The sequence below is a fragment of the Homo sapiens genome, chromosome 8 (genome assembly GCF_000001405.40).
Source record: "Homo sapiens chromosome 8, GRCh38.p14 Primary Assembly".
Lineage (NCBI taxonomy): Eukaryota > Metazoa > Chordata > Mammalia > Primates > Hominidae > Homo > Homo sapiens.
In genome coordinates, this window is record NC_000008.11 from 139,748,555 (window position 1) to 139,774,258 (window position 25,704).

General features: G+C 54.8%; 1 protein-coding gene across 10 annotated transcripts in view, besides 2 other annotated features; it reads right to left on the reverse strand.

Annotated features, from left to right (window-relative positions):
• The window catches only part of TRAPPC9 (trafficking protein particle complex subunit 9), a 730,855-nt gene that overhangs the window by 20,830 nt on the left and 684,321 nt on the right, over positions 1 to 25,704 (reverse strand). The gene's annotated exons all lie outside the window — the stretch shown is intronic.
• Positions 1,352 to 1,852: an enhancer, noted in NCBI's record as "H3K4me1 hESC enhancer chr8:140762149-140762649 (GRCh37/hg19 assembly coordinates)". NCBI's record gives its function as "activates a minimal SCP1, AML or CMV promoter by ChIP-STARR-seq in primed H9 embryonic stem cells {active_cell/tissue: H9 hESC(primed)}" and the evidence as "EXISTENCE:reporter gene assay evidence [ECO:0000049][PMID:30033119]".
• Positions 23,396 to 24,023: an enhancer, noted in NCBI's record as "H3K4me1 hESC enhancer chr8:140784193-140784820 (GRCh37/hg19 assembly coordinates)". NCBI's record gives its function as "activates a minimal SCP1, AML or CMV promoter by ChIP-STARR-seq in primed H9 embryonic stem cells {active_cell/tissue: H9 hESC(primed)}" and the evidence as "EXISTENCE:reporter gene assay evidence [ECO:0000049][PMID:30033119]".

Below are 25,704 nucleotides of genomic sequence, written 5' to 3' on the forward strand. Positions count from 1 at the left end.
GGAGATTTGCAGGTGTCAGAGCTGGCATGGGGGGCATGCAGGAGTACTGAGGGGCTGCAGCTGGTTTTCTGTGCCGGGCCTTGCATAGGCTGCTTGTTGGCTCTGCCTGGGCATCTGCCATTGGCGTGTCTAGCGCAGCCTCTCCTCCCTGGAAGCCTTCCCTCCCAGGGACCTCTGTTGCTGCCCTCGGCATTCTGCACCTTGTGCCCATGTGTGCCACCTAGAAGGGCATTTACCTTGGGGGCAGGGGGCCGCCTCCACTAACAGGCTGGCACTTCCTCCCCCCAGGCCCTAGTGCCCAGCAGGGCCTGTGTGTATGGGGCCTGTATGGGGTCTCCACCAGGATTTCTAGACCTTGAACTCTGGCAGTAGGTCCAGGCTTGAAAACCAGGTTTCTGGACTCCTGGTGTGTGCAGCAGGGAGACAGCAGGAGGAAGACATTTTCCAGAGAGAAGACATAAAGTGATTGTGGATGTAGAAATGACGACTTCAATTGCTCCTCCAAAGTATTCAAGGCCAAGTTCAAGGCTGTCTGATCACGTCCCCTGTGGTCTCTCACCCCAGTGCCCTGCGACTTCCCCTGCTCCATCTGTCCCTCCCTCCTGCTGACTCCCTGTGGCCTTTCCAAAGCTGGGCTCCTGCAGCACCTGCTCCAGGAAGACTTCCTGAAGCACATCCAGCCCCCAGCAACCCGCCATGGCCTGCATGGCCCACACGGGAATCTGCTGCTGAGGGACTGTCTCTCCTGAGCTCCTGGGGGACCTCTGCCATATGAATGGACAGACGATAAGATGGCCTTGGCCCTTCAATGGCTTACAGTGTGACCTCAGGTAAATCATTTAACCGATCTGAGCCTCAGCGTCCCCATTGTCACATGAGAGCAATGGGCTGAATGGTTTCAAACAGGCTCACTATTTCATGTTCTCATCTCTGGGCGCCATGTCCAGAACTTCTTCCTACCATGAAAAGGTGCCATGCTTGTCATGAAGCATGCCGGGAACCCCTCTCACCCTGTACCCCCAGACTGTCCTCACACAGCCCAGGGCTGACCCCTGCCTGGTGCTGGGTCAGTGCTTACGAGGTTAAACAGACTCTTGATGTGGTGACAGCCAAAGCTTCACATAGAACTATAAAGTCTTAGAGCACAAACGGGAAGGACATGAGGTGCAAAAGGACCTTCTAGTGGCCCATCTGCTTGAACCGCCAGAGCCGGGCAGCTGGATGAGCGGGTGGCGGTTAGCTGCTGCCCCTGTGCTGGACTGGAGGGGCAGGGCTGCCCAGTGGAGAGCACCTCCCTGCTGAGACTCTGGGCAAGGAGCTTTTAGAAGCGGGGCCACAGGCAGCCTGGAGGTTCCTGAGGACCTGGTCAAGGGAGATGGGCCCAGACACTCCCTCTGTCCTAGGCTTGGGCTGGCAACACAGAGACGACCAGGAGCTCACAGCCTGCAGGGGAGACTGTGGCCCACACAATCCAAGACCGGGTGAGGAGTGTCCCCCACCCCATCCCATCTCAGCTGGGAGTGGTGGGGGCTGGATACAGGAGGGTCCACAGGAGCCCTGGCTGTCCCAGTGTGGCATAGACCTCACCTCAGTCCTGAAGCATCCACCAGGGGTTGCCCAACCTCCCCTGCTCCCCAGGCTTCTCTGATGGGGCTTGAGCACCCCAAAAGCTGCAAGTATTAATTTAATCCGGGGTCCCAGATGTGCACAGGATTCCTGCTCTCCATTATGGCAGCCACCCTGAGAATGAATACTGGTTTACCAGACCCTGGAGGCAAACCACGCCTCCCCAGGCCTCAGCAGGCTCAGGTCTACCGTGCCTTTTTGTCCTCTTCCACCCTAGCCACCTCCAGCAGACAAGAGGCGCCCTCAGGCTGCCGCCCCTTTGTATTTATTGCTGGGTCTCCTCAGTGTGCAGAGGAGCACCTTAGGGCCAGGCAGCACCCCTGCATTGCACCCCAGCATGAAAAGACCCATGGAGCTGTGCTGGGCACAGGCTGAGGGGCTCTCCAGGCAGCCTGAACTAGAGAAGAGAGGACTTGCTGGGACCCCCAAAGCTGGCTTGTGGCCCCTGCTCCTGGGGATAGACCTCTGGCCTCTCTCCAAAGACCATGCGGCTTCTCTAAATGAGCTTTCCAGCACGGAGGGGGCAGGAACACCCTGGGCCTGCCTGGGATGAGTCCCGTGGGACCATTCAAACTGCACCTGTTCAACAGGTCCCAGCCTATGCTGGGATTCTACCTGCAGAGCTCACTAACACTCTCAACTGCTTCCATCTCCAGGAGTCCATTTGTTTCCTGGAGCAGCAGCAGGTGACATCAGCAGGTGGGTCTTCACCCTGCTGAGCACAGGGAAACCAAGTGTGACTCCAGCACTAGAGCCAAGAGCCTCCACCCTCTGCCAGGCAGTGTGATGGAGTCTCTGGCCCACCCCAAGGGCTGCAGACAGCCAAGCACAAGGGGAGGAGACTTCCTCATGGGCTGTGCCAGGGCAAGCCAGCAGGGCTATGGGGTCATCCTAGGGAATGGCTGGCTGGCCAATCAATACGCCATTTAAAATTAGCACAGCCCTGCCTGGGAGAAAGGTTATGGGAGGTCAACATAGTCAGCCCACCCAGCCACAGGTCTGAAACCTCTGGCCCAACTCTGTCAGGTGTTAGTCTGGAAATCACAGTGGATTTCTTGGCTGTGCAATGATCAGCAGCCAGAACTAGACAGAATGCATCTTTTCAGGGGTCCAGAGGCTGGGGATGCCCAGGGGCCAGGCCCACAGCACCTGGGATTGACCCCCGCCATGGCATATAAGTAAGCCTGGCCCTTTCAGACACCAGATCACCCCTGCATATCCCTGCTGCTGGTCCCAGGGCCATGCCCTAGCCTTGCTCATTTCTGATTCTTCCCACTGCCCTCTTGCTTCCAATACTAGCTTGTGGCCACTAGCAACAGGGTGGGACTCCCCTGTTTCACTTCTAAAGTCATTGACCTCAGCTTGGTGAGGTTCTTAGTTAGGGTGACGGATATAGCTCTATCTGCCTAGGTATCTGGACTCCCATGCCCCAACCCTAGAACAAAGACCTGGACACAACCTCTTCTGCCTCCACAAACTCAAAAACTCTAGACTACATGTCATCCACCTATCCATCCAGCATCTACCCATCTACCATCCATCCATCCAGCATCCATCCATCCATCCATCCATCCTCCAGCAGACAAGAGATGCCCTCAGGCTGCTGCCCCTTTGATTTTATTGGCTGGGTCTCCCATCCACCATTCATTTATCATCCACCTATCTATCCACTATTCATCCATCCACTCACCATCTACCCATCCATCCATCCATCCATCAATCCACCATCCATCCACCATCCATCTATCCACCATCTACCCACCATCCATCCAGCATCCACCCATCCACCATTCACACATCCATCTTTGTCCGTCTACCATCCATCTATCCATCCATCCAAAATCCACCACTCATCCATTCACCCATCCATCTCTCTACCATCCATCCATCCATCCACCATTCATCCACTCTACATCCATCCACTACCACCTGTTCATCTACCATCCATCCATCTATATATCGATCCATCTATATACCATCCATCCACTACCATCTATCCGCCATCCATCCACCATCTACCCATCTACCATCCATCCATCCATCCAACATCTACCCATCCATCCATCCACCCATCTACCATCCATCCATCCAACATCTACCCATCCATCAACCCATCTACCATCCATCCATCCACCCATCTACCACCCATCCATTCATCCAACATCTACCCATCCATCCACCCATCTACCATCCATCCACCATCCACAATTGAACCATCCACCCATCTACCGTCCATCCATCCATCCATCTAACATCTACCCATCCATCCATCCACCCATCTACCATCCATCTATCCAACATCTACCCATGTATCCACCCATCTACCATCCATCCAACATCTACCCATCCATCCATCCATCCACCATCCATCTATCCACCATGTACCCACCATCAATCCAGCATCCACCCATCCACCATTCACACATCCATCTACTGTCCATCTACCATCCATCTATCCATCCATCCAAAATCCACCATTCCTCCATTCACTCATCCATCTCTCTACCATCCATCCATCTACCATTCATCCATTCATACATCCATCCACTACCACCTGTTCATCTACCATCCATCCATCTATATATCCATCCATCCATCTATCTATATACCATCCATCCACTACCATCTATCCACCATCCATCCACCATCTACCCATCTACCATCCATCCATCCATCCACCCATCCAACATCTACCCATCCAACCATCCATCCATCCACCCATCTAGCATCCATCCATCCAGCATCTACCCATGCATCCACCCATCTACCATCCATCCATCAATCCAAAATCTACCCATCCATCCATCCATCCAACTTCTACCCATCCATCCACCCATCTACCATCCATCCATCCAACATCTATCTACCCATCCATCCACCCACCCACCCATCTATCCATCCATCCATCCATCCAACATCTACCCATCCATTCACCCATCTACCATCCATCCATCATCCACCATCCACCATCCACCCATCCACCATCCATCCATCCATCCAACATCTACCCATGCATCCATTCACCCATCTACCATCCATCCATCCAACATCTACCCATCCATCCATTCACCCATCTACCATCCATCCATCCAACATCTACCCATCCATCCACCCATCTACCGTCCATCCATCCATCCACCATCCACCCATCCACCCATCTACCATCCATCCATCCATTCATCCATCAACAACTACCCATCCATCCATCCACCCATCTATCCATCCCTCATCTTTCCATCTATCCCCCTTTCCTTCCTCCCTCCCTTTATTCACTTCCCATCAGATTTCCCAATAGCCGTTCATGCGTTTTACCGTTTTACTGATTTGTTCTGCTCTTCCCTCAGGGGAAATACTCCCAGTGGCTGCTGAATGCTCATCTATCCTTCAAGGTCTGGATGCAGTAAGTCATTGCTGCAAGCCTTCTGTACTCCTTCCAGATTTCTCTATGCTCCCCTGAGGCCTTGATCATACTCTCCTTGTTTGCCTGAGTCAGATGAGTCCCATTAAGCCTTATGTCTGCCATTACTAGCTGTGGCCCTCTGGCCAGCCACCCATTCTACAAGTCCCGGAATCCTCATTTGTAACATGGACTAAGGGTGACCGCGAGGATGAAAGGACTTCTATGAGTAGCGCTGCCACCTCAACACATGATGCTGCTGGGCAATGCCACCCCCCTCTCCTCGCCTGTGTTGTGGCCATGGGACAGCGAGGTGTCTGCATGTCTGTCTCCTCAGCTGAAGCACCCCCATCATGGTTGTTTGTGCATCCCAATCCTGCTCCTTGGCACAGAGCAGGTATTCCATAAATATTTGCTGAATCAAACTGACTTCATCTTGGCACGTCTCAATCTTGAACGGACAAGTGCAAAAAGAGAGACCATCCAGTGTGTTCTTAGCTCAGGCTGGCTCTGCAGGGAAAGGTGAAGCCATGTGGCAGCCACCATTAGATTGAAACAGCCAAGGCCCCCCCAGCCTGCTGCTGCTCCATGCTCTGCTCCTGACCTCCCAAGGAGCCTGGCCCTCTCCAGACCCTGCTTTCCTTCCCTGGGAAATAAGGGCATCTAATGAGTGACCCCCAAAGCTCTTTCCCCTTTGACTGCCTGGTCTCAGCTGCACAATTAACAGCAGACATCACCAAGAACTAGTCAGTTTGTATCACCTGGGGCTCCCACATCTGCTCCCAGGAGTGCAGCTGGTCTGAAAAGGTGCCCCTCAGCAATCAAGGCCAGAGCCACAGTCCACAGGCACTCTGGGTGCTGCTTGCAGACAGCTGGGTGCTGCCTTCCAAGACTGCCTCCATTCAGGGGTGCTGCCGTGACCGAGATCACAGACCCTTCCTGGGGTGACCTACATGCGGTGACTGATCCACACAGGGTATCAAGGCTGGGCCCCTCACCTCACCCAAACTCGGGGTAACAACAAGAAGCCATCCCAACTCCCATGGGTCGGCTGAAATCCTCACTGGGCCTGCCCAGCTTCTTTCTCTGTCCATCTGCTTCCTCCTCTCCTTCCCACCGTGCTGACCTGAAGGTGCTGCGTGCCAGCCTCTGTTTTCCAGAGACGCCCCCACCCCGTGTCACAAGCTGAACAGCACATCTTCCTCCCCTGGCTGAAAACAGGTCTCCTGCTGGTGCAAAACCACATTCAACTCATCAGAGACTTAGCCTTGGCCCCACCACTTACTGAGTGACTTTCTGAGCTTCCACTTCCTCATCTGTCAAACGGGCAAAACGTACTAGGAACACAGGGTGTGGCTACCAGGGAAACCCCAGGAGCTGTGCGGCACACGGAGCTGTCACTGCCAGGGGCCCTGGGAAGGACGGGCCAAAGCCATCGGTCTTGGCTGCCTGGGGCCAACAGGACAGGGGTGATGAGATGGCCCTCGGCCAGCCTTGAGGTCACCTGAGAGGTCGTTGTAATTGGGGGAGCCATGAGCTCCGAGCCTCGTCTGCCCCAGCTCCCACTGCTGGCTCAGTGCTGGTGTGGCACCTGGCACCCTCCAGGTCCTCGGATAACTTGTGCTGAGTGAATCAGTGAACCTAGGAGCATGCAGGACAGACCTGTGGAGAAGCCAGCCAGGGTTTGGGGATGAGGACAGCGTGTCGCAGGAGGAGCCAGGGATTGGGGATGAGGACAGCAGGTCGCAGGAAGAGCCAGGATTTGGGGTATAAGGACAGCAGGTCGCAGGAGGAGCCAGGGTTGGGGATGAGGACAGCAGGTCGCAGGAAGAGCCAGGGTTTGGGGATGAGAACAGCATGTCGCAGGAGGAGCCAGGGTTTCGGGATGAGGACAGCAGGTCCCAGGAGGAGCCAGGGTTGGGGTATAAGGACAGCAGGTCGCAGGAGGAGCCAGGGTTTGGGGATGAGGACAGCAGGTCGCAGGAGGAGCCAGGGATGGGGTATAAGGACAGCAGGTCGCAGGAGGAGCCAGGGTTGGGGTATAAGGACAGCAGGTCGCAGGAGGAGCCAGGGTTGGGGTATAAGGACAGCAGGTCGCAGGAGGAGCTAGGGTTTGGGGATGATGACAGCATGTCGCAGGAGGAGCCAGGGTTTGGGGATGAGGACAGCAGGTCGCAGGGGGAGCCAGGGTTTGGGGATGAGGACAGCAGGTCGCAGGAGGAGCCAGGGTTGGGGTATAAGGACAGCAGGTCGCAGGAGGAGCCAGGGTTTGGGGATGAGGACAGCAGGTCGCAGGAAGAGCCAGGGTTTGGGGATGAGGACAGTGTGTCGCAGGAGGAGCCAGGGTTTGGGGATGAGGACCGCAGGTCGCAGGAGGAGCCAGGGTTTGGGGATGAGGACCGCAGGTCGCAGGAGGAGCCAGGGTTTGGGGATGAGGACAGCAGGTCACAGGAGGAGCCAGGGATTAGGGATGAGGACAGCAGGTCGCAGGAGGAGCCAGGGTTTGGGGATGAGGACAGCAGGTCACAGGAGGAGCCAGGGATTAGGGATGAGGACAGCAGGTCACAGGAGGAGCCAGGGTTTGGGGATGAGGACAGCAGGTCGCAGGAGGAGCCAGGGATTAGGGATGAGGACAGCAGGTCACAGGAGGAGCCAGGGTTTGGGGATGAGGACAGCAGGTCGCAGTAGGAGCCAGGGTTTGGGGATGAGGACAGCAGGTGGCAGGAGGAGCCAGGGATTGGGGATGAGGACAGCATGTCGCAGGAGGAGCCAGGGTGGGGGTAGAGGGACAGCAGGTCGCAGGAGGAGCCAGGGTTGGGGTATAAGGACAGCAGATCACAGGAGGAGCCAGGGTTTGGGGATGAGGACAGCAGGTCGCAGAAGGAGCCAGGGTTTGGGGATGAGGACAGCAGGTCACAGGAGGAGCCAGGGTTTGGGGATGAGGACAGCAGGTCGCAGGAGGAGCCAGGGTTTGGGGATGAGGACAGCAGGTCGCAGGAGGAGCCCGGGATGGGGTATAAGGACAGCGTGTCGCAGGAGAAGCCAGGGTTTGGGGATGAGGACAGCAGGTCGCAGGAGGAGCCAGGGATTGGGGATGAGGACAGTGTGTCGCAGGAGGAGCCAGGCTTTGGGGATGAGGACAGCAGGTCGCAGGAGGAGCCAGGGTTGGGGTATAAGGACAGCAGGTCGCAGGAGGAGCCAGGGTTTGGGGATGAGGACAGCATGTCGCAGGAGGAGCCAGGGATTGGGGATGAGGACAGCATGTCGCAGGAGGAGCCAGGGATTGGGGATGAGGACAGCAGGTCGCAGGAGGAGCCAGGGTTTGGGGATGAGGACAGCAGGTCGCAGGAGGAGCCAGGGTTGGGGTATAAGGACAGCAGGTCGCAGGAGAAGCCAGGGTTTGGGGATGAGGACAGCATGTCGCAGGAGGAGCCAGGGTTTGGGGATGAGGACAGCAGGTCGCAGGAGGAGCCAGGGTTTGGGGATGAGGACAGCAGGTCACAGGAGGAGCCAGGGTTTGGGGATGAGGACAGCATGTCGCAGGAGGAGCCAGGGTTTGAGGATGAGGACAGCAGGTCGCAGGAGGAGCCAGGGTTTAGGGATGAGGACAGCAGGGTGCAGGAGGAGCCAGGGTTGGGGATGAGGACAGCATGTCGCAGGAGGAGCCAGGGATGGGGTATAAGGACAGCAGGTTGCAGGAGGAGCCAGGGTTTGGGGATGAGGACAGCAGGTCGCAGGAGGAGCCAGGGATTGGGGATGAGGACAGCAGGTCGCAGGAGGAGCCAGCGTTGGGGGATGAGGACAGCAGGTCGCAGGAGGAGCCAGGGTTTGGGGATGAGGACAGCAGGTCGCAGGAGGAGCCAGGGTTTGGGGATGAGGACAGCAGGTCGCAGGAGGAGCCAGGGTTTGGGGATGAGGACAGCAGATCACAGGAGGAGCCAGGGTTTGGGTATGGGGACAGCGTGTCGCCGGAGGAGCCAGGGGGCGTGGGTATTAGGATGGCATGTCGCAGGGGCCCTGGAAGTGGGCTGTGCAGTGGGCCCAGTGGCTGCTCTGGCAGTGCCTGTCAGTGCCATCTAGAGGGAGTCCCCCCAGCCCAGGCATCATTCACTTCTGACGCCACTGGCCAGGCCTGTCTCATTCTTGAGGCCTGGTCTCTTGGGGCCTGGTGGGCTGAGTGCAGAGAGGACCTTCTACATCACCTGCACTGCCCACAGTTCTCACGCTTAGTAGGCAAGCAGTCGGCACTGCTGGCGGGCTCGCCTCCCTGTCCAAGGGGGAATCCCTGAACCCACGGCAAGGACGCTTTCTGCTGGGCTTCCTCCAGGGAGTCACATGCCAGGAGGCTGCATGCCCTGATGCCAGGAGGATTTTTCCAGTGATTAAAAATGTGTCCCTGCCGAGTGGCCTCATTTTTTATTTTAAACAACCATGGCCCCAGGGATTGGGCCTGGGCCTCGTGGAGGCCTTCTTTAGAGAAGAAAGCAATTAGAAGATGAATTAAAAACAAATTAATCTTTGTCTTCTTCCACTTGGAAGGGAATCCCGTGACAGCGGGGAGGCCAAGCGCTCGGGCCTGGGAAGCCAGTGTCACCCCTCAGGGCCGGGATGGCTGGAGGTGCCCATCGCTGGACTTGCTGGCTGGGGCTGGAGCAAATGCCAGGCTTATGTGGGGTGGGGACATGTGCCTGTGGAGGAGACCGCCCTGTGTGGAATGGGACTCACACTGAGCATGCCCACGTCGCGTGCTTTACATTTCTTACTTGGTGATGAAGGCTTTATCCTGTCTATCTTGCAAAGGAAAGAAACTAAAGCTGAACTTGGCTCACATATTGACTCTGTCAACATCCTAGCTCTCATACTAGTTAGACCAGGAATACCCCTGGCTAGAAGGTGAGGCCAATGCAGAAATGAGGCCTGGTGCCCTTCTGCCTGCTGTGGGGAGGCCGGGGGCAGGGGATGGGGATGCAGACACAGGGAGGCAAACGGGGTACGAGGGAAGCACCTCGTGGGTTCAGCTGATAAAATGTTTACTGAGCCAGGCTCCCTGAAGGAGGGGTTGCCCCAGGGCAGGAGGACCTGTGCCACGAAGGCAGGGGCAAGAAAACCTTGTGTCAGAAGGTGAAGGCGGTTGGGGCAGGCTGAGGAAGCTTTCCTAGCTTCAGTGTGTGGAGGTAGTGGCAGAGAAAAGGCTGGACAGGTAGCGAAACCGGGTTATGCTACAAATCAGCCAAGTAAGTTATGGGAATCGCTCCAAGTCCCAGGTGGTGAGGCTGAGGCGGGTTTCTGACGCCAAAGCCTGTGTTGCCTCCCCATCCTCCAGCGGACCCTAGCCAAGCACCTGTGGAGCCAGGTGGAGACTGTGGAAGGGCAGGGGCAGCCCTGGCCTCCCTGGCACTGAACCCAAGACACTGCATGAGTGAGAGGTGCCTCTGTTCTCTTTCTGGTCCGCCTCAGCATGCGCAGTGGTAGAGGTGTTGATGGCAACTGGTGAGTGGGCCGGGTGCTGCTTCAGCTCCACCCACAGCCCTCTGAGTTAGAAGCTATGACTGTCCCCATTTCACAGATGAGGAAACCGAGGGTCAGAGAAGTTAGCAACTTGCCCAGGCTGCATAGGGAATGGCAGAGCTGGAGTCTGAACCTAGCAGGGGTGCTTCTGAACTCAGTCCCCTGGGAAAGGGAAGGCAAAGCCGGAAGGGGCGGGGAGGAATACCTGCCGCTCACTGAGTGTTTATCATCTTCCTGGCACTGCACTAGGCTCTTTACATACATGGTCCCCTGGAATCCTTGCCTCTGCCCTCTGAGATGAGTACTATTGCCATGAGGAAGGTGAGAGGCAGAGGAGGAGGCACCTTGGCCAGGCTGAAAGGTCAAGGCTGGTGTCCTGGGCTGTGCCACGTGGGCGGTGCTGAAATGCCAGGACTGCTGGGAATTCAAAGGCCCGGAAAGATATGGAGAGGACAGACTCGGCTTCTTGATCTAGGGCTACAGCGGTTCCTCTGCAGAGGAACGAGCCTGGCGATTTTTCAGACGAGGCTGAGACAGATGAGCGCTGTTCTAAACAAAGCCAAGGAGCATTCTGAAAGGCAGCCTCCTCTGGGAAACACGAACTGCAGACACGGGGGCCGGGCTCCCCTGGGGGGACACAAACTCTAGATCCAGCTGCCACCCAGTGCTCCCAGGAGGGCTGGCACCCGCTCCTGCCCTCCCCCAGTCAGTCCTGCCAGGTGTGGAGGCAAGGTAGCCCTGGAGGCCAGATGTGGGGAGGGCCCAGGGCAGCGCAGCCTGCCGGCAGCCAGCACCATCACTGTCTCCAAGACAGACTCCCAGACCAGTGCCCACCCAGCTGTCCATGAAGCCGTCCCTGGGGGCTGGATGGACTCAACTCCCAGCCCTGTCTCTCCAAGCCCAGGCCCCTGCACCAGCACACGCCCGTCATGTCTGACCCCCCGTGCTCATCTCAGCATGAAGCATGCACATGCATGTGTGCGTTTGTGCACAGTGTGCTGTGTGTTGTGAGTGTGTGAGTGTATGTGGGTGTGGAGCGTAGTGTATATGACCTACTCCAGTGGCTTGGGGGCTGCAGCGAGGCCAGGTCTGTGTGGCTCTGTGAGTAGGGGAAGGAGGGTGGACGTGGACCCTTCGCTCTCCATCCTTGGAATACCAGATTCAGACAGCAAAGAACAGGGAAGGAAAGCAATGGGGGCTTTCCCCCCATTGCTGAAGGAAAGCAGACAGACAGCTTGGAGAGGGCCCACCCTGGGGAGTGGGAACTGGGGCCAAGATGCGCTCTGCTTGGCCCCTCCCTCCCAGGGTGGCCTGTCTCAGGCGGACAGAAAGTGACCGCACGCTCAGAACATCATCCAAAGGGCATCCAGCAACTTGGCAAAGTAGCGAAGGTTCTCTCCTTGACCAAACTCTCAGACTCCCTGAGCTCTTTCTCAATGAGGCCTTAACTTGTACATTTCCTCATTCATTTCTGCACTGTCCTTTTGTGAGAATCCTACGAAGTCGGTTTATCCAGACTCCACGTCTGATCACCCTCCGTATCTGACAGGGCTCCTCGCCTTCCACCAGCCCTCAGGTGACATCTGATCACCCCAGCCTGTCTCAGAAGTGTAAGGCAAGGAGGAGCAAGTCACTTCTTACGTGGATGGCGACAGGCAAAAAGAGAGCACTTGTACAGAGAAACCCCCATTTTTAAAACCATTAGATCTTGTGAGACCCACTCACTATGATGAGAACAGCACGGGAAAGACCTTACCCCATAAGTCAACCATCTCCCACCAGGCCCCTCCCACAACACATGGGAATTACCGGAGCTACAAAATGAGATTTGGGTGGGGACACAGAGCCAAACCATATCAGATGGGGTGGGTAGCTTGGGTCTTTCTGCCTTGGTGAATCTCCTACAGTCTCTGCACTTCCTGACTTGGTTGCTTAGCCTCTTGCAATCCACCAAGGTGCAGTACAGGCCTCCCTGGGCCAACAGCACTGCTTCCAAGGTAAGAACAGGGTTTTTGAAGGCAACTTGGAAATGAATGCCTTTCTGTTGTCTACTTACTTCACAGGGAGGCAATGTCAGGTCCCTGAACCACGTCCTGGGCAGGGGATGAGGTGCCTGTGCTGGGGGACCTGTTGGTAAAGGCTGGGGGAGAAACAGAGACCAACTGGGCCCAGACACACCATTTATAGGGTGCAGGGCAAGAGCACAGGTGTGGACCCACCTGCCACATTAGATCGACGTCTGAATCTTCAGAAGTTACCAATCAAGCTCACAGCCGGACATGAAGCTTGTTTAATCCTCCTGGCAAATTTACCTTTGTAGCGACCAAGAAGGCCGAGTTAAAATGTAGACTTCCCGGGCCCCTTAGAGTTCTGGGCGGGAAAGTGATGATGCGGTGTGCGCCAGTTCCCTGCTCCCAGCCCTGGTGCTGGCTTGCCCACCTCCTCCTCCCAACCCCACACCCTGCCTGGTACTATGACCCCGCATTCTGACCACAGACCTGGGACCCAACCCCTCAGCACAGCTCCGCCAGGTGTCATGCTCGTGGCGTGCTGTCAACACAGCAAACTTGATGACCTTGCCCCATCCTCCACTTCCTGGCTCCAGGTGCTGGGTCACCCCCCTCAGGGACGGCCCACTGGACAGTGGCCCAAGCCCTGAACCCAGGCCCGCCCCGTTCTGCTGTCCTGTCACGGGGCAGGACCACTCTCTAGGCCTGACGCCACACCCTGCGTATTTCTCAACTCCAAGCCCTCCCACACCACGCCTGGCTGCCTGCACGTGTGCATCTGCTTCTTCTGCTTGTCTCCCCTGACTCCCCCTTGTTTATGCTCTGGTGCTCAGTTCAGAAGAAGATTCTTGACAGAGAGAAACAGATTGTTTCTTTTACACTTGTACAGGCAAAGCCGTGCCTGGATCTATAGGTGTCCCTCTATAACCCGGCCCTGTCTGGGCTCCCAGGCCCAAGGATGCTCTGCTCCTTCCTGGGACCCAGGACAGCCCTCTGAGCCACCCAGCCCTGCAGCCCGAGTGAGGGCCTGCCACATGCTCATTGGAGGAGTGGGAGAAGGCCAGCTTTCAGCAGCCTGCATTTGGGCTGAGGAAGACCCCTGGAGTACCTCTAACGCAAGCAGAGCGGCCCACTGCAAAAGTGTCCTGAAGTGCTGCTTCTGAGAACCCAAAGAATGATGTGTAATTAGCATATTAAGAACTAGTATGCAAATCACGGTGCTTTAAAACAGTCTGTTCTCTTAAATACAGTCACGCACAGCTTAACACTGCGGATAGGTTCTGAGAAATGCGTCATTAGGCGATTTGTCCTAGTGTGAACATCACAGAGGGCACTCACACGAGCCTGGAGGTCAAGCCTCTACACACCGAGGCCGTGTGGTGGAGCCCATTGCTTCTAGGCTATAAACCTGTACAGCGTGTGACTGTACTGAACGCTGTAGACAACGGCAACACAATGGTAAGTATTTGTGTATTACCCAAACATCTAGACACAGAAAAGGTATGGTAAAAATAAGGAATTATAATCTCACGGGATCACCGTCACACATGCGGTCCACCACTGACTGAAATGGCATGTGGTGCACGACTGTAATTTAATCCTCTCCACTGCCCTCTTCTCCCCTAGAGTATACATGTGCCCAGGAAACAGATGGCCAAGGTGCGGAGGGCACCTGGGAAGGGAGAGCCCCAAGCAGCTGTCTCAGGTCTCAGCTGCGGGACCTTCAGCCTCTCATTCTGCCTCTGAGTTGCCCACCACGCACCCAGAAAGGAACATGAGGACCAAGTTCCCAGTCTCAGTTGCCTGGTGATGGGAGGTGGAGCAGCGCAGTCCAGGGCAGCCACTGCACATGCCCTGCACCGGGTCTGAGAATGAGGCTGCAGCTGCAGCCGGGGCAGGGCCAGTGCTCACCCTGGCTTCCTGGAAGTGGGGTACGGGTCTCTGCTATGGACTGGCTGAAGCCTTCTTCATTCTGTGATTGAACAGGAATAATTCCCCCAGAGGGCCTTAATTTAGCACTAACCAGGTGCTAGATACAGCAATAGGCATTTTCCAAGCGACTCATTTTTGTCTTCCTAATAACTCTGGAAGCCAGGCTTTATAGAGGAAAAAGAACAAGGCGCTGAGAGGGTAAGCCATTTGGTTAAAACCACAGAGGAGTGTGGGGATTAAAACGTGGCTCTGGCGAATATAAAGCTCATGATCTTTCACTATGACTACAGGAAGGCCTCGCCTTTGGAATGAATGAAAAAGACCCATGGATTTATCTAGAAAACTAATTCCTTATTGAGTCATGGGGAACTTTGAAAATCTGATGGAAGCTACAGCCCCTCTCCCGTGGGGACATGTTAGTCCCCTCCCTCCCTCCCTCCTTCACTCATAGCAAATATTCACTGAGCAGTCACCACGTGCTAGGCACTGTGCCAGGTTCTACAAACAAAACAACGCCCATGGCTTCCAGTCTCTTCCTTCTGGTAGAAGAAACCAGAAAACAAACAAGCACACATGCACATAAACACACACACACACACACACGTGCACACATGTGCACACAGGCACATGCACACACATGCACGCACGCGTGCACACACACGTCGATCATTCAGGTGCTGGTAAGCGGGGACAGGATAAAGGGAGCTGGAGGCTGCCACGTGGGTCAGGGGAGACGAGGAGTGGCTCAGACCAGGTCGAAGCTGTACAAGCTAAGAAGTGGTCAGGTCAGGCCATGTTCCAGCAGGCCAGTGATGGAGCAGGCATAGTGTGGAAGGGGTCAGGTGTTGGGCCTCAGCAGCCAGAAGAACTGCCCGTTGACAACTGGGGACACCGAGGAGGACTAGGACTCGGGAGGTTAGCAGTATCGAGCATTTGATCTTGGCCTTGTGAAGGTGGAAGTGCTCATTAGATACACGGTAGGTCTGCCGATGGGGGGTTGTGACCCCAGGGAGAACGGTGTCTCAGAAGCCAAGTGAAGAAGGGCCTTGGGAGGAGGGAGCTATCAGTGATGGCAAGTACGGTGAGGGCACAGGTGTGGGGACTGTGTTGGCATGGAGGCCACAGTGACACATCCACTGTCTGGATGGAGTGGTGGGAGCTGCAGCCTGGGGTGGGTGTGCTCGAGAGAGCTAGGGGAGAAGGAGAGGAGGAATGAGCAGAGGTGGCACCTTGGAGTCCGTGTGGCTGTAGCAGGGGCAGTGAAATGGGGTGGCTGCAGGAGGACGTGGATCACAGGAGATGGTGGCATTTTGTGATAGGAGATGCCACAACATCTTTGCTGAAGAACCTGAAGCAGTCCAGAAAGAAAGACCAGGGAGCAGGGCAGGGCTGCAAAGCTGTGTCCCAGAGGGATCACCTATGAAGCCATGGAAAGGCCATCAACCATCATCCAGGACATGCTTAAAATGCAGGCACAATAATTCATTCCCCTCTAGTGCCGGCAGAATGGCTTTCCCAGCACTGAGTGAGACACGGGTTCAGCTGAGGTGGTTCTGCCCCCTGTGGCCTGTCTTACTGTGGCCTCAGTTCACTTTTCAGAGCATGCCTGTGTTCACAAGGACACACCAGGCTCCACACTTAATGACCGGAAACCCCAAGTTGGAGGCGTCCCTGTCCTGGTGTGTACGTAGGGCATGTGTAGGAAGACAGCTGGATCTGGATCAGTGAGGCGACCGGCTAGAGGAGGTGACCCCTACCCCTGAGCTGCCCACTCCCCACCACGGTCCGGTGCATCCAGTCTGCAGATGTGTTGGGGAAAGAAGCATACAAGGAGTGAAGAAGACACTGAAACGTGGCAGCAAGTACTCGGTTCTCGTCCCAGAACCGCACTCCTGTCTCTCTGCAATACTTATCTAGACACTCTGCCTTCTCTCCTACCATCGTCTCCATCATCCCAGGGCACAGTAGGTCTTCAGGCCACATAAGACAATTCATTCTAAAGGAGACACTCCGTCACCTTCTTGCCAGTCTCTCCAAGCCAACGCTTGGGTTCCTGCATGAGGATCCACTGAACACCTGCTCAGGCTGGAACGAGCACCCACAGATGCACCCAAGGGTGGGGCTGCTGCCTGGTCCCCCCAAACACACTCTCTCCAGTTGGTTCGTTTGTTCTCCATCCCATCGCTCAGAGGCGGACCTCACCACAGGACCTGGGTAACTGCCCAAGTTCTGGTAGGAGAAGGGAGGAAAAGCCAGGCTGAGGTCAAGAAGACCCCACTGAATGGGATTCCTAAAGCTCCCCCAGCTACAGGGTCACTGACGCCCTCGAGGGACAGCACTATTGTGTGGACATGTGTGGGTTTGCGTTTTCCTAGACAAATAGTCCAAAGCTTTCATCCAATCATCAAAATGCTCTGAGGCTCCAGAAGGTTAGTAGCCAATATCTTAAAGGACAGGGTGGCCGTGGGTGGGAGGAGAGATGAGGGCAAGAGGATTAGAGTTAAGGGAAGAACAGTTTAGAAATAGGCAAGGAAGGGAGGGCTTTTCTTGGTTTCAGGTCAGAACCCCCATCAAGGGGCTGGGCAGGTGAAGTGGTGGCAGGCTCCAGAGGCCCTTGATGAAGGACAGGGGCTGGGATTCCCAGAAGGCTGCCAGAGGACCCTGTGTGGGGTACGGAGGTGAGGGTCTGGGGGCAGAGGCAGGAACAACCATAGGAGTGGACACACAGATGTGTGCTCTTGAAATGCCAAGCCTGTGCCAGTCTGCCTCCGAGGTATAACCCAGGAGAGCTCTTTCCCACAACTGAATTTGGATCACCCAGCCTGGCACAGGGCACACTTCATCCCCAGCCGGGGTCTGTGCCAGGGCGGTGAGCTGGTGGCACACGTAGGTAGGCTTCTCCCCCATCTGACCTCACGCTGCTGGGGCTGCCTTGAAGGGCGCAGGTGTGGCCCTGAAGCTTTATCTCTCAAAGGGCTACCAGCACAAACATCATCACTGTGTAATTTCCATAGATGCAACAGCTAAAGTGCAAAGTAATCCAACAGTGAAATGTTTTGCTTTCTTTATTCCAAGGCCTCAGGGAACCTGTCAAATCCCCTTGGCCCCAAACACTAGGGCGCAGAGATGGAAAGAAAGAGGAGTTCTGACAGCCTCAGGCTCCCTCACCAGCTCTGCCAGCCCTGACGGGATGCGTGTCCTTGGGCGTGTCTGCCACCTGCTCAGGCTCAGCCCATCTGTAAAAGGAGGGGGCAGGCCAGGGAGTGTCTCTGCTCCCGTACTGGGGTCTGGCCATCCACAGTTGGCTCCACACCCCTGTGGCCCCTCATGCTGCAGTAATGCCCCCAGGCTGGGCCTGGCCTCCCTGTGCCCATCATGATCCTCCTACCTCAACAGTTGGCACAGTGGCTGTGCTCTGGGAGCCTCTCTCCCCAGGTTGCCTCTAAAATGTCACAACTGATTCCCCAAATGCAAGTTGTGGCTCTGTCTAAGTCCTTCAATAAATATGTACTGACTTCTGCACCAGGGGCTCTGGAATCAGACCTGTGTTCAGATCAGGACCTGGGAGTGCACACGCGGCCCCAGGTGCTCCTCCTCATTGATAACGACCTAACCGGCATCACGTGGGGACTCAGCAGCCCTTCCATGCAAGGTGCTCAACACACAGTTTCTATCATTAAGGTCCCCGCTCCTGAGGTCACTCACTGGAGGGAGACAACAGATCGGTCTCAGGCTCAGCCCTCTGCCCACAAGAGCTCCCCGCCTGGCTCCTCCTAAGAACACTTTCTTCAAGGCCCAAGCCAACGGAATGTCACATCCTTTGGGAATCATCCCTGTTCTCCTGAGGGAATTGCTGTCTTGTGCGTCCCGCAGACCTGTGGCTACAGCACTTATCATATGCTCTCTTGCGTCCTCACCTGCATGTCTGTGCCCACCACATGACTGTGAGCCCCTGGAGTGCGGCCCTGGCACAGGGCCCGGCTGGCAGTTGCTGGACCATGCCCCCTGGACTGTGCCCCCTGCTATGCCTGCTGAGGACGCCAACGAGGACCCTGATGATGACAAGGCCACGTGTCAGCTACCACATGGCTCCAGGTGCTTTACACATCATCTGATTTAGTGGAGACCTGGCGAGGCAGGAATTACTATTTCTTATATAACAAATAAGGCATCCTCTGAGAGGCGTAGGGACTAGCCCACATCACACAGCTAGACAGGGTACAGCACAGATGTGAGCCAAGTCTGTGCGCCTCCAAAGCCTTGCTTTTCCCACTCTGCCTGTGTTTTCTGAAGTGAGCTAAGTTCATCAACACGGGTAGAAAATGCAAACTGCTACCAGAGAAGGAGGATCCGTTTCTTCTGACACCAACAGGATGGCTGTCCCACAGAGCATCCCATCCTCACGAGGGCAGCATCCCGTCCTCACGAGGGCTCCGTCCCAGACAAAGTGGGAGGGAGTGAAAGGCCTCCAATGCTGGGTGAGACGGATCCAGGAGGAACATGCTGGCAGGTGCATGTGGGGGTGGAAGGGGGAGGGAGAGAAGATTCCAGATGGAGGGAACAGATGAACCAAGGTGCAGAGGTAGAGGCTTGGGCTTGAGCTGCACCAAGTAGCCCCTCTGGCCAGGCCCAGATTCTGCACAGAGAAGTGGAAATAACAAGCAGGACAAGCACTTCATCAAAGAAGAAACGCCAGCCACTGATGAGCACGTGGCAAGGCGCCAGGCCTCTCCAGTAATCAAAGAATGCAGGCTGAGAGACTGTAGCACAATTCTTTTTGGCCTAGTAGACTGGCATAGATTTTTAAGGAAAATAAAAGCTATTGCTGGCAAGAGTCAAGGGAAATGGATATTTTCATACATGGCTGATTAGAGTCTAAAAGCTGTAATATTTATGGAGGGCAACCTCACAAGTAGCAAACAGCCTTGAAAAATATACAGACCCTTTGACTCAGGGTCTATTCACATTGTTAATATGGGCAGATTTATAATACAACATTATTAATATGGCCAGATTTATAATATGGGCAGTATTGTAACACTGAGAAACTAAAAACTCCCTATAGTCCAAAAATATGGGGGGATGGGCTAAATACTTTCTGGAACATTTGCATAAAGGAATACTATGTAGCCATTAAAAATCATAATTTACATGTAGATTTGGCATGGAACATATTAAGTAAAAGCATAGTTTTACATATTAAGTAAAAGCATAGAAGAAATACATAAAGGAGGCAGTCATTTACTCAGCATTGAGGATCTGGTGCCTCCCAGGTGCTGGACCCTGGAGCCACAGCAGTGAATATGACAGCTGTGACCCTAGCTCCTGCAGTTCCCTGGGCAGTCAGGGAACTGGGGGCACGGGGCAGGCAGGTTTTGCCACCCACCAGTGGTGGGCCAGGCCCTGCGGGCCACACCGACTGCGCTGGCCTGGAAGACCCTGGCCATATTTTCAGTGATGTCTAATTTTGAATAAAATATGTACCTGGAAAATCATCTAGAAAGCTGCATACCTATCTGTTAGTGGTCACCATCTCTGGATGGTGGGATTTCTGGTAATAGTCCATTTCTTCTTTGTGTTCACCTCCAATTGTTAGTTTTCTACAATGAGCATGACTTCCGTTTTCATTTTAATTCATCAACAGGGGTTATCTAAACACAGAGCTCATAGCTCACTTTTATTCTAATCTTTGTACAGCTCTATTAAATGTCTACTAACATACGTGACACCTAGTGTTAGGGGCTGAATCGTGACTCCAAAAATTCCCATGTTGAAGCCCTAAAGCCCAGTACAATACCTCGGGGGGGAATGTATTTAGAGACAGGGCCTTCAAAGACATACAAAGTAAAATGAGGCCCAAGATGGGCCCAATCCTCTCGGACTGGTGTCATTATAAGAGGAGATTAAAACAGACACACACAGAGGGAAGACACAGGAAGAAGGCAGTCGTCTACAGGCCAAGGAGCGAGGCCTCAGAAGAAACCAGTGCTGCCGACATCTTGACCTTGAATTTCTATGAATTTCGAGACTCCACAACTGTCAGAAATAACTTTTTGTTGTCTAAGCCACACAGTCTGTAGTGCTTTGTTAGAAAAACTACTACAGTAACCCTGTTATCCTCGGGGGCAGGTTCCAAGACCCCCAGTGGACGGCTGAAACCTCAGATAGTACTGAACCCTATATACACTATGTTTTTTCCTCGACATACATACCTATGATAAAGTTTAACTTATGTATTAGGCATAGTGAGAGACTTACAATATTAACTAATAACACAAAAGAACAATTGAGTAAAATAAGAGTGACTGAATGCCAGCACTACAACACAGCAGCTGATCTGACGGCAGACACCTCCTAGGTGGCTCAGGGTGGGGAATGTGCACAGCGTGGATTCACTGGACAAAGGGAGATGCAGGGCATGACGGGCAAGATGTCACCATGCTACTCTGAGCACTGCACAATTTAAAACCTACGAATTGTTTATTTCTGGAATTTTCCATTTCACATTTTCAATCTATGGTTGAACGAGGGTCACTGAAACCAAGGAAAGCAAAACCGAGGATAAGGGAGGACTGCTGCACTTCCAGATACTTTTAGAAAGAAGCAAATGCAAACACAGAATACAAACAAAAATAAAGTGAAGAATAAAAATAAGATTGAATAGTAATGATCCAAAGGCTTAAAATAAGCAGTAACCTAGATCTCATAGGTCAGAGAAAATGAGTGGAAGAACTAATATTCACTAAATTTTAGGTAGAGCATGAATTACTTTTATACTGATTTGTACAAATTGTTTAAAACATGCTTAAAAAGAAGAAGAAATACATAAAGGAAGTGGTCATTTACTCAGCATCTAGGATCTGGTGCCTGCCGGGTGCTGGACCCTGGAGCCACAGCAGTGAATATGACACTTGTGACCCTAGCTCCTGCAACTCCCCAGGGAAGGCAGGGAACTGGGGGCACGGGGCAGGCAGGTTTTGCCACCCGCCAGTGGTGGGCCAGGCCCTGTGGGCCACACTGACTGCGCTGGCCTGGAAGACCCTGGCCACCCTGGGCAGACACCAGCGAAAGCCCAATCCCGAGTGCTGGTCTCCCATCTGCACTGCAGGTCTCTTCAGGACCCTTCATTTCCTAAGGCACCCACAGCGCTGCCAGCCCGTTACTCCTGGCAGCCTGGCTCAGAGGGCAGTGGTGACAATGGAGCCCAGACGCCCCGGAGAGAGGTTCTGCTGCCACCTCCCGACCTTGTATGCTGGGCTGGGACCTCGACCTGAAGAAGCCCTGGCTCCCGGAAGCCGGTCCTCACCGTGGCTCCCCGCATTTTGAGACTCACATTTCTTTCCATGTTTTGCTCCTTTGCAGAGCGGGGAAGGCTTTGGTGTCTGAGGCTTTAGGGATTCACAATGGGAGTGTCATCTTAGTGAAGTTCTCCAGGCACGGGTTCACAAAGGTTCCACAGGGAGCTGCTTTGGCGAGATGGGCCTGGGTCCCCACGGGGCCCCATCATTCTCCAGCTCTGTGACATCGTGAAACTGCGCAAACAGTGCCTCAACTGAGAGCTCCCAGTGGACAGCTCAGCCAGCGTCTGGTGCTCTAGGAGGGAGGAAACCATGGCAGATGCTCTTTTCCTGAGGCCACAGAGCTGGGGGACATCACTAATGAGAAACAGTAAGAAATTCAATGACTTAAAAATGGAAAAGGAGAGGCCTCACAGAGATGGACTGAGCCCTTAGCGTGGTGGGGAAAACAAGTTCAACAACCTGGACCCCAGCAGGCAGGAGGAAAATTCCAGAAGACAGTAGTGCAGGAAGGCAGCTGAGGACAGTCCCACCACCAGAGACCTTGAACAAAGGCTGGCCCTGCCCGGGCCTGGCGGGCGTAGGGAAGAGTCACCACGCCTCTCCTGATGCGTCTGGGCTTCTGGGACCCTCCCGCAGGAGTCCCTGGACAAGTGGAGAAGAGGGTTGGGTAGAGGAACTGGTCTAGAAAGTGTACCCCCAGGGACGCCAACATGCTGGAGACACTGAACTTGCTGTGTGGTCAGCCCTTGAGCATGCCTCTGCCTGCTTGGGAGCTGAAAGGGGGAGCTCAGATCCTTTGTGCACCTGCAGGGCAGGGAACTCCTCCTTCCCAGCCACCTCCAGTCCTGGTGCTAGACTGGCTCCCAGAAAACTCTAGGGCCCCAAACTCATCTCTTTTGAAACTTAACGCATCATCTATCTGCCACATTTGCTCCTTCTGCAAAGTCCCATCTCAGAGAACGGTGCCGCCCAGCACTCTCAGAAGAAACCTGGCATCAGTCCTGGCGCCTCCTGTCACTCATTTCTAGCCAATCATGAAGCCCTGCCCAGGACGCCGGATCCCATGTGTAGAAACACAGTGTATGCCAGTTGAAGCCAGGGGTCCATGTGAACCCAGAGTGTCTAGGCACTACTCATCCATGCCTCTGAAGCCTGCAACCCTGGCCAGCTCTTCTGAAATAGGGGCCTTGGGGTAGGTTTTGAAATAAAAAACATGCAGGAGAGAAAGCTGAGCTCTGGCCAGGTCATGGAAGCGTAGGACAGTGCAGCCAGGAGGACCACTGCTGATCATCTGAAGTGACTTTCACAGAGGGGAGTGGCAGCAGACCCCACACGAGTGGTAGGCGCTGAGGACCACACGGATATTTGTGACAAGTGGAAGTAGAATCTGCGCGTCAGTGATTGAAGCCTGTGTGTGCAGACAGCGCAGACCCCAGAGCCGCCAGGCTGGGCTGACCCAAACCTGCTCCTGCAGCTCTCCTGGCCAGGCCAGGCACCCTCGGCCTTTAGGGTCAGGTGTGTCTCTAGGACACAACACAGGAGCCTGACTCAGTGCCCACAGCCCTCCTGGCTTGCCGAGAGAGGGAACAGGGAGAAGTCTCCGCCCAGCATGGATCTGGGTGGCTAGGTTTGTTGAGAAGGGAGATATCTGAGCTCACAGTGACAGCCCCTTTAATGGAGACTTAATTATGCTGCGGCCTGGTGTGGAGGATGGATGGGGCACTGGCTACCACATGCTGCTGAGGGCTATCTATCTAGCCCGCCAACCTCTGAGGCCTACAGATAACCTGCTTCTCACATCACCTGGGATCCACATGGAAGGTGATCATTAAGCCAAACGGCCCACACGTGTGCACATGTGCTTACACGCATGAATATGCTCCAGGTGAACCCACTGATGCACAGGTCTGTGCCTGTGGCCCTACAGGCCCGTGCAGGGCAGAGGGAGAGGCCCAGACTGAGTGCCCCACTGGTGCCTGGTGCTACAAAGAGGTCATTTCACATCACCTCATGGGAACCCAGTGAGGGGAGAGTATTATCCCATTTTACAGATGAGGAGATGGGGGCTGGGGCCTCATCAGGGACTCATCTGACAGTCCCCAAACTCCTTCACTCTAGCCATCGCCATGGCCACCATCCCAGCCCACGCTCCTGGGATCCTGAGAAGTCCCACACTCTGCCTGTGAGCTCCCCAGGCGTCTGCCTTCGGGGTGCACATGGCCACCCCCACTGCCTTGCCTGGAGTCGGCTACACATAAAATTCCCAGGGCCACAGCTGAGCCCAGGGGTTATCTAAACGCAGAGCTCATAGCTCACTTTTATTCTAATCTTTGTGCAGCTCTATTAAATGTCTACTAACATATACGACACCTAGTGTTAGGGGCTGAATTGTGACTCCAAAAATTCCCATGTTGAAGCCCTAAAGCCCAGTACAATACCTTAGACATACAAAGTAAAATGAGGCCCAAGATGGGCCCAATCCTCTCGGACTGGTGTCATTATAAGAGGAGATTAAAACAGACACACACAGAGGGAAGACACAGGAAGAAGGCAGCCGTCTACAGGCCAAGGAGTGAGGCCTCAGAAGAAACCAATGCTGCCGACATTTGCAAAGTGAATGCAAAGTGAATCCCTGCAGAGCAGCTTCATGAAGCAGGTGAGGCTGGAGGCTGAGGTCACTGTGTTCCTTTCCAGCCTAAAGCCCCAGTGAGGCACCCCTCCAGGAGGCCCACAGTTTGTGCCCTGGGCCACCTCGCAGTGGCTGTGGGTCCCGTGGCAGGACCACGCCTCTGAAGGAGCACTGGCTGCCTCGGGAGTCACGTGGCTGCACCTACCCAGCAGGTAGGGCTGTGTGGGGTTAGTCACCCAGCAGGACGCCTGGCGCGCCCAGGTCTCTGCCTCTGTCCCTCCTCGTGCCGATGGCTCTAACAGGTTTCAACGAAAATCCAAAGTGAATGCTAGAGAGTATTTAGCACCAGTGGGATCACTAAAATGAACACAAATGAAGACAAAGTTCCCAACGGCTGCCAGAGGCCCCGGCTACATTCCTGGAGTTTGTCCTGAAAGCCTCCCTGGGAGCAGGCAGTGCAGCAGACGGCACTGGGTGGGGGAATCAGCAGCCTGAACAGGCGACTGCCCCGAAGGGAAATGGAGGCGATGATGGGGTGAGTCCTCCCCGGTGGACGGACCTCAGAGGTCGTTGGGACAGCTGGGTCGCTAGGCTGAGCTGGACAGTGACAGCTGCTTCCTGCTCACCACACCATCACTCCCATGCCCCACGCCAGCCTGCACCTTCCCCACAGCCCCCACCCTGGCTCCCAGGCATCTGCCACCTGCCTCAAAGTCCCTCACCACCCGCTCACTCCAGCCGGCAGCAAAACCACCCATCAGCCACCTCTGTAGTCCTCTGTGTGTGCGGAACCTTTGCCTGAAACCGACCAACCAATCAACCATGCATTCATTCATCCAGCGACTCTCAATTCAGCTCTTCCTATGTGCCAGGCACCCTTCTAGAAAGAAAATTAAAATGTCTAAAAATAAATAACATAGGAAGACAAAGTGCCTGTTTTCACGGCACGCATGTTCAGTGGAGAAGTCAGAAAACATCCAAACATCATCTCCCACGTGGGACAGCGGTCGACCCTACGAAGGAAAGCCAGGCCGGCTGCGAGGGGAGAGAGGAGCACGGTGCTGAGCTGGACCAGGAGCCTGGGGAAGGCTGGAGCTGCAGGCTGCTGAGAGCGCAGTGGGAGAGAGACAAGCTCCCCAGGCCACATGGACGCGGGCGAAGGCCACTGGGGCGGCAAGAAGGAGGAGGCCCCACGAAGCTCCCACGCCTGCCCTGAGTGAGACAGAAGTCGGCATGGGCTGAGCAGAGGGTCATAGATGGATTTATGGATCACAGGCCACTCGGGCTGCCCTGTGAGAAGAG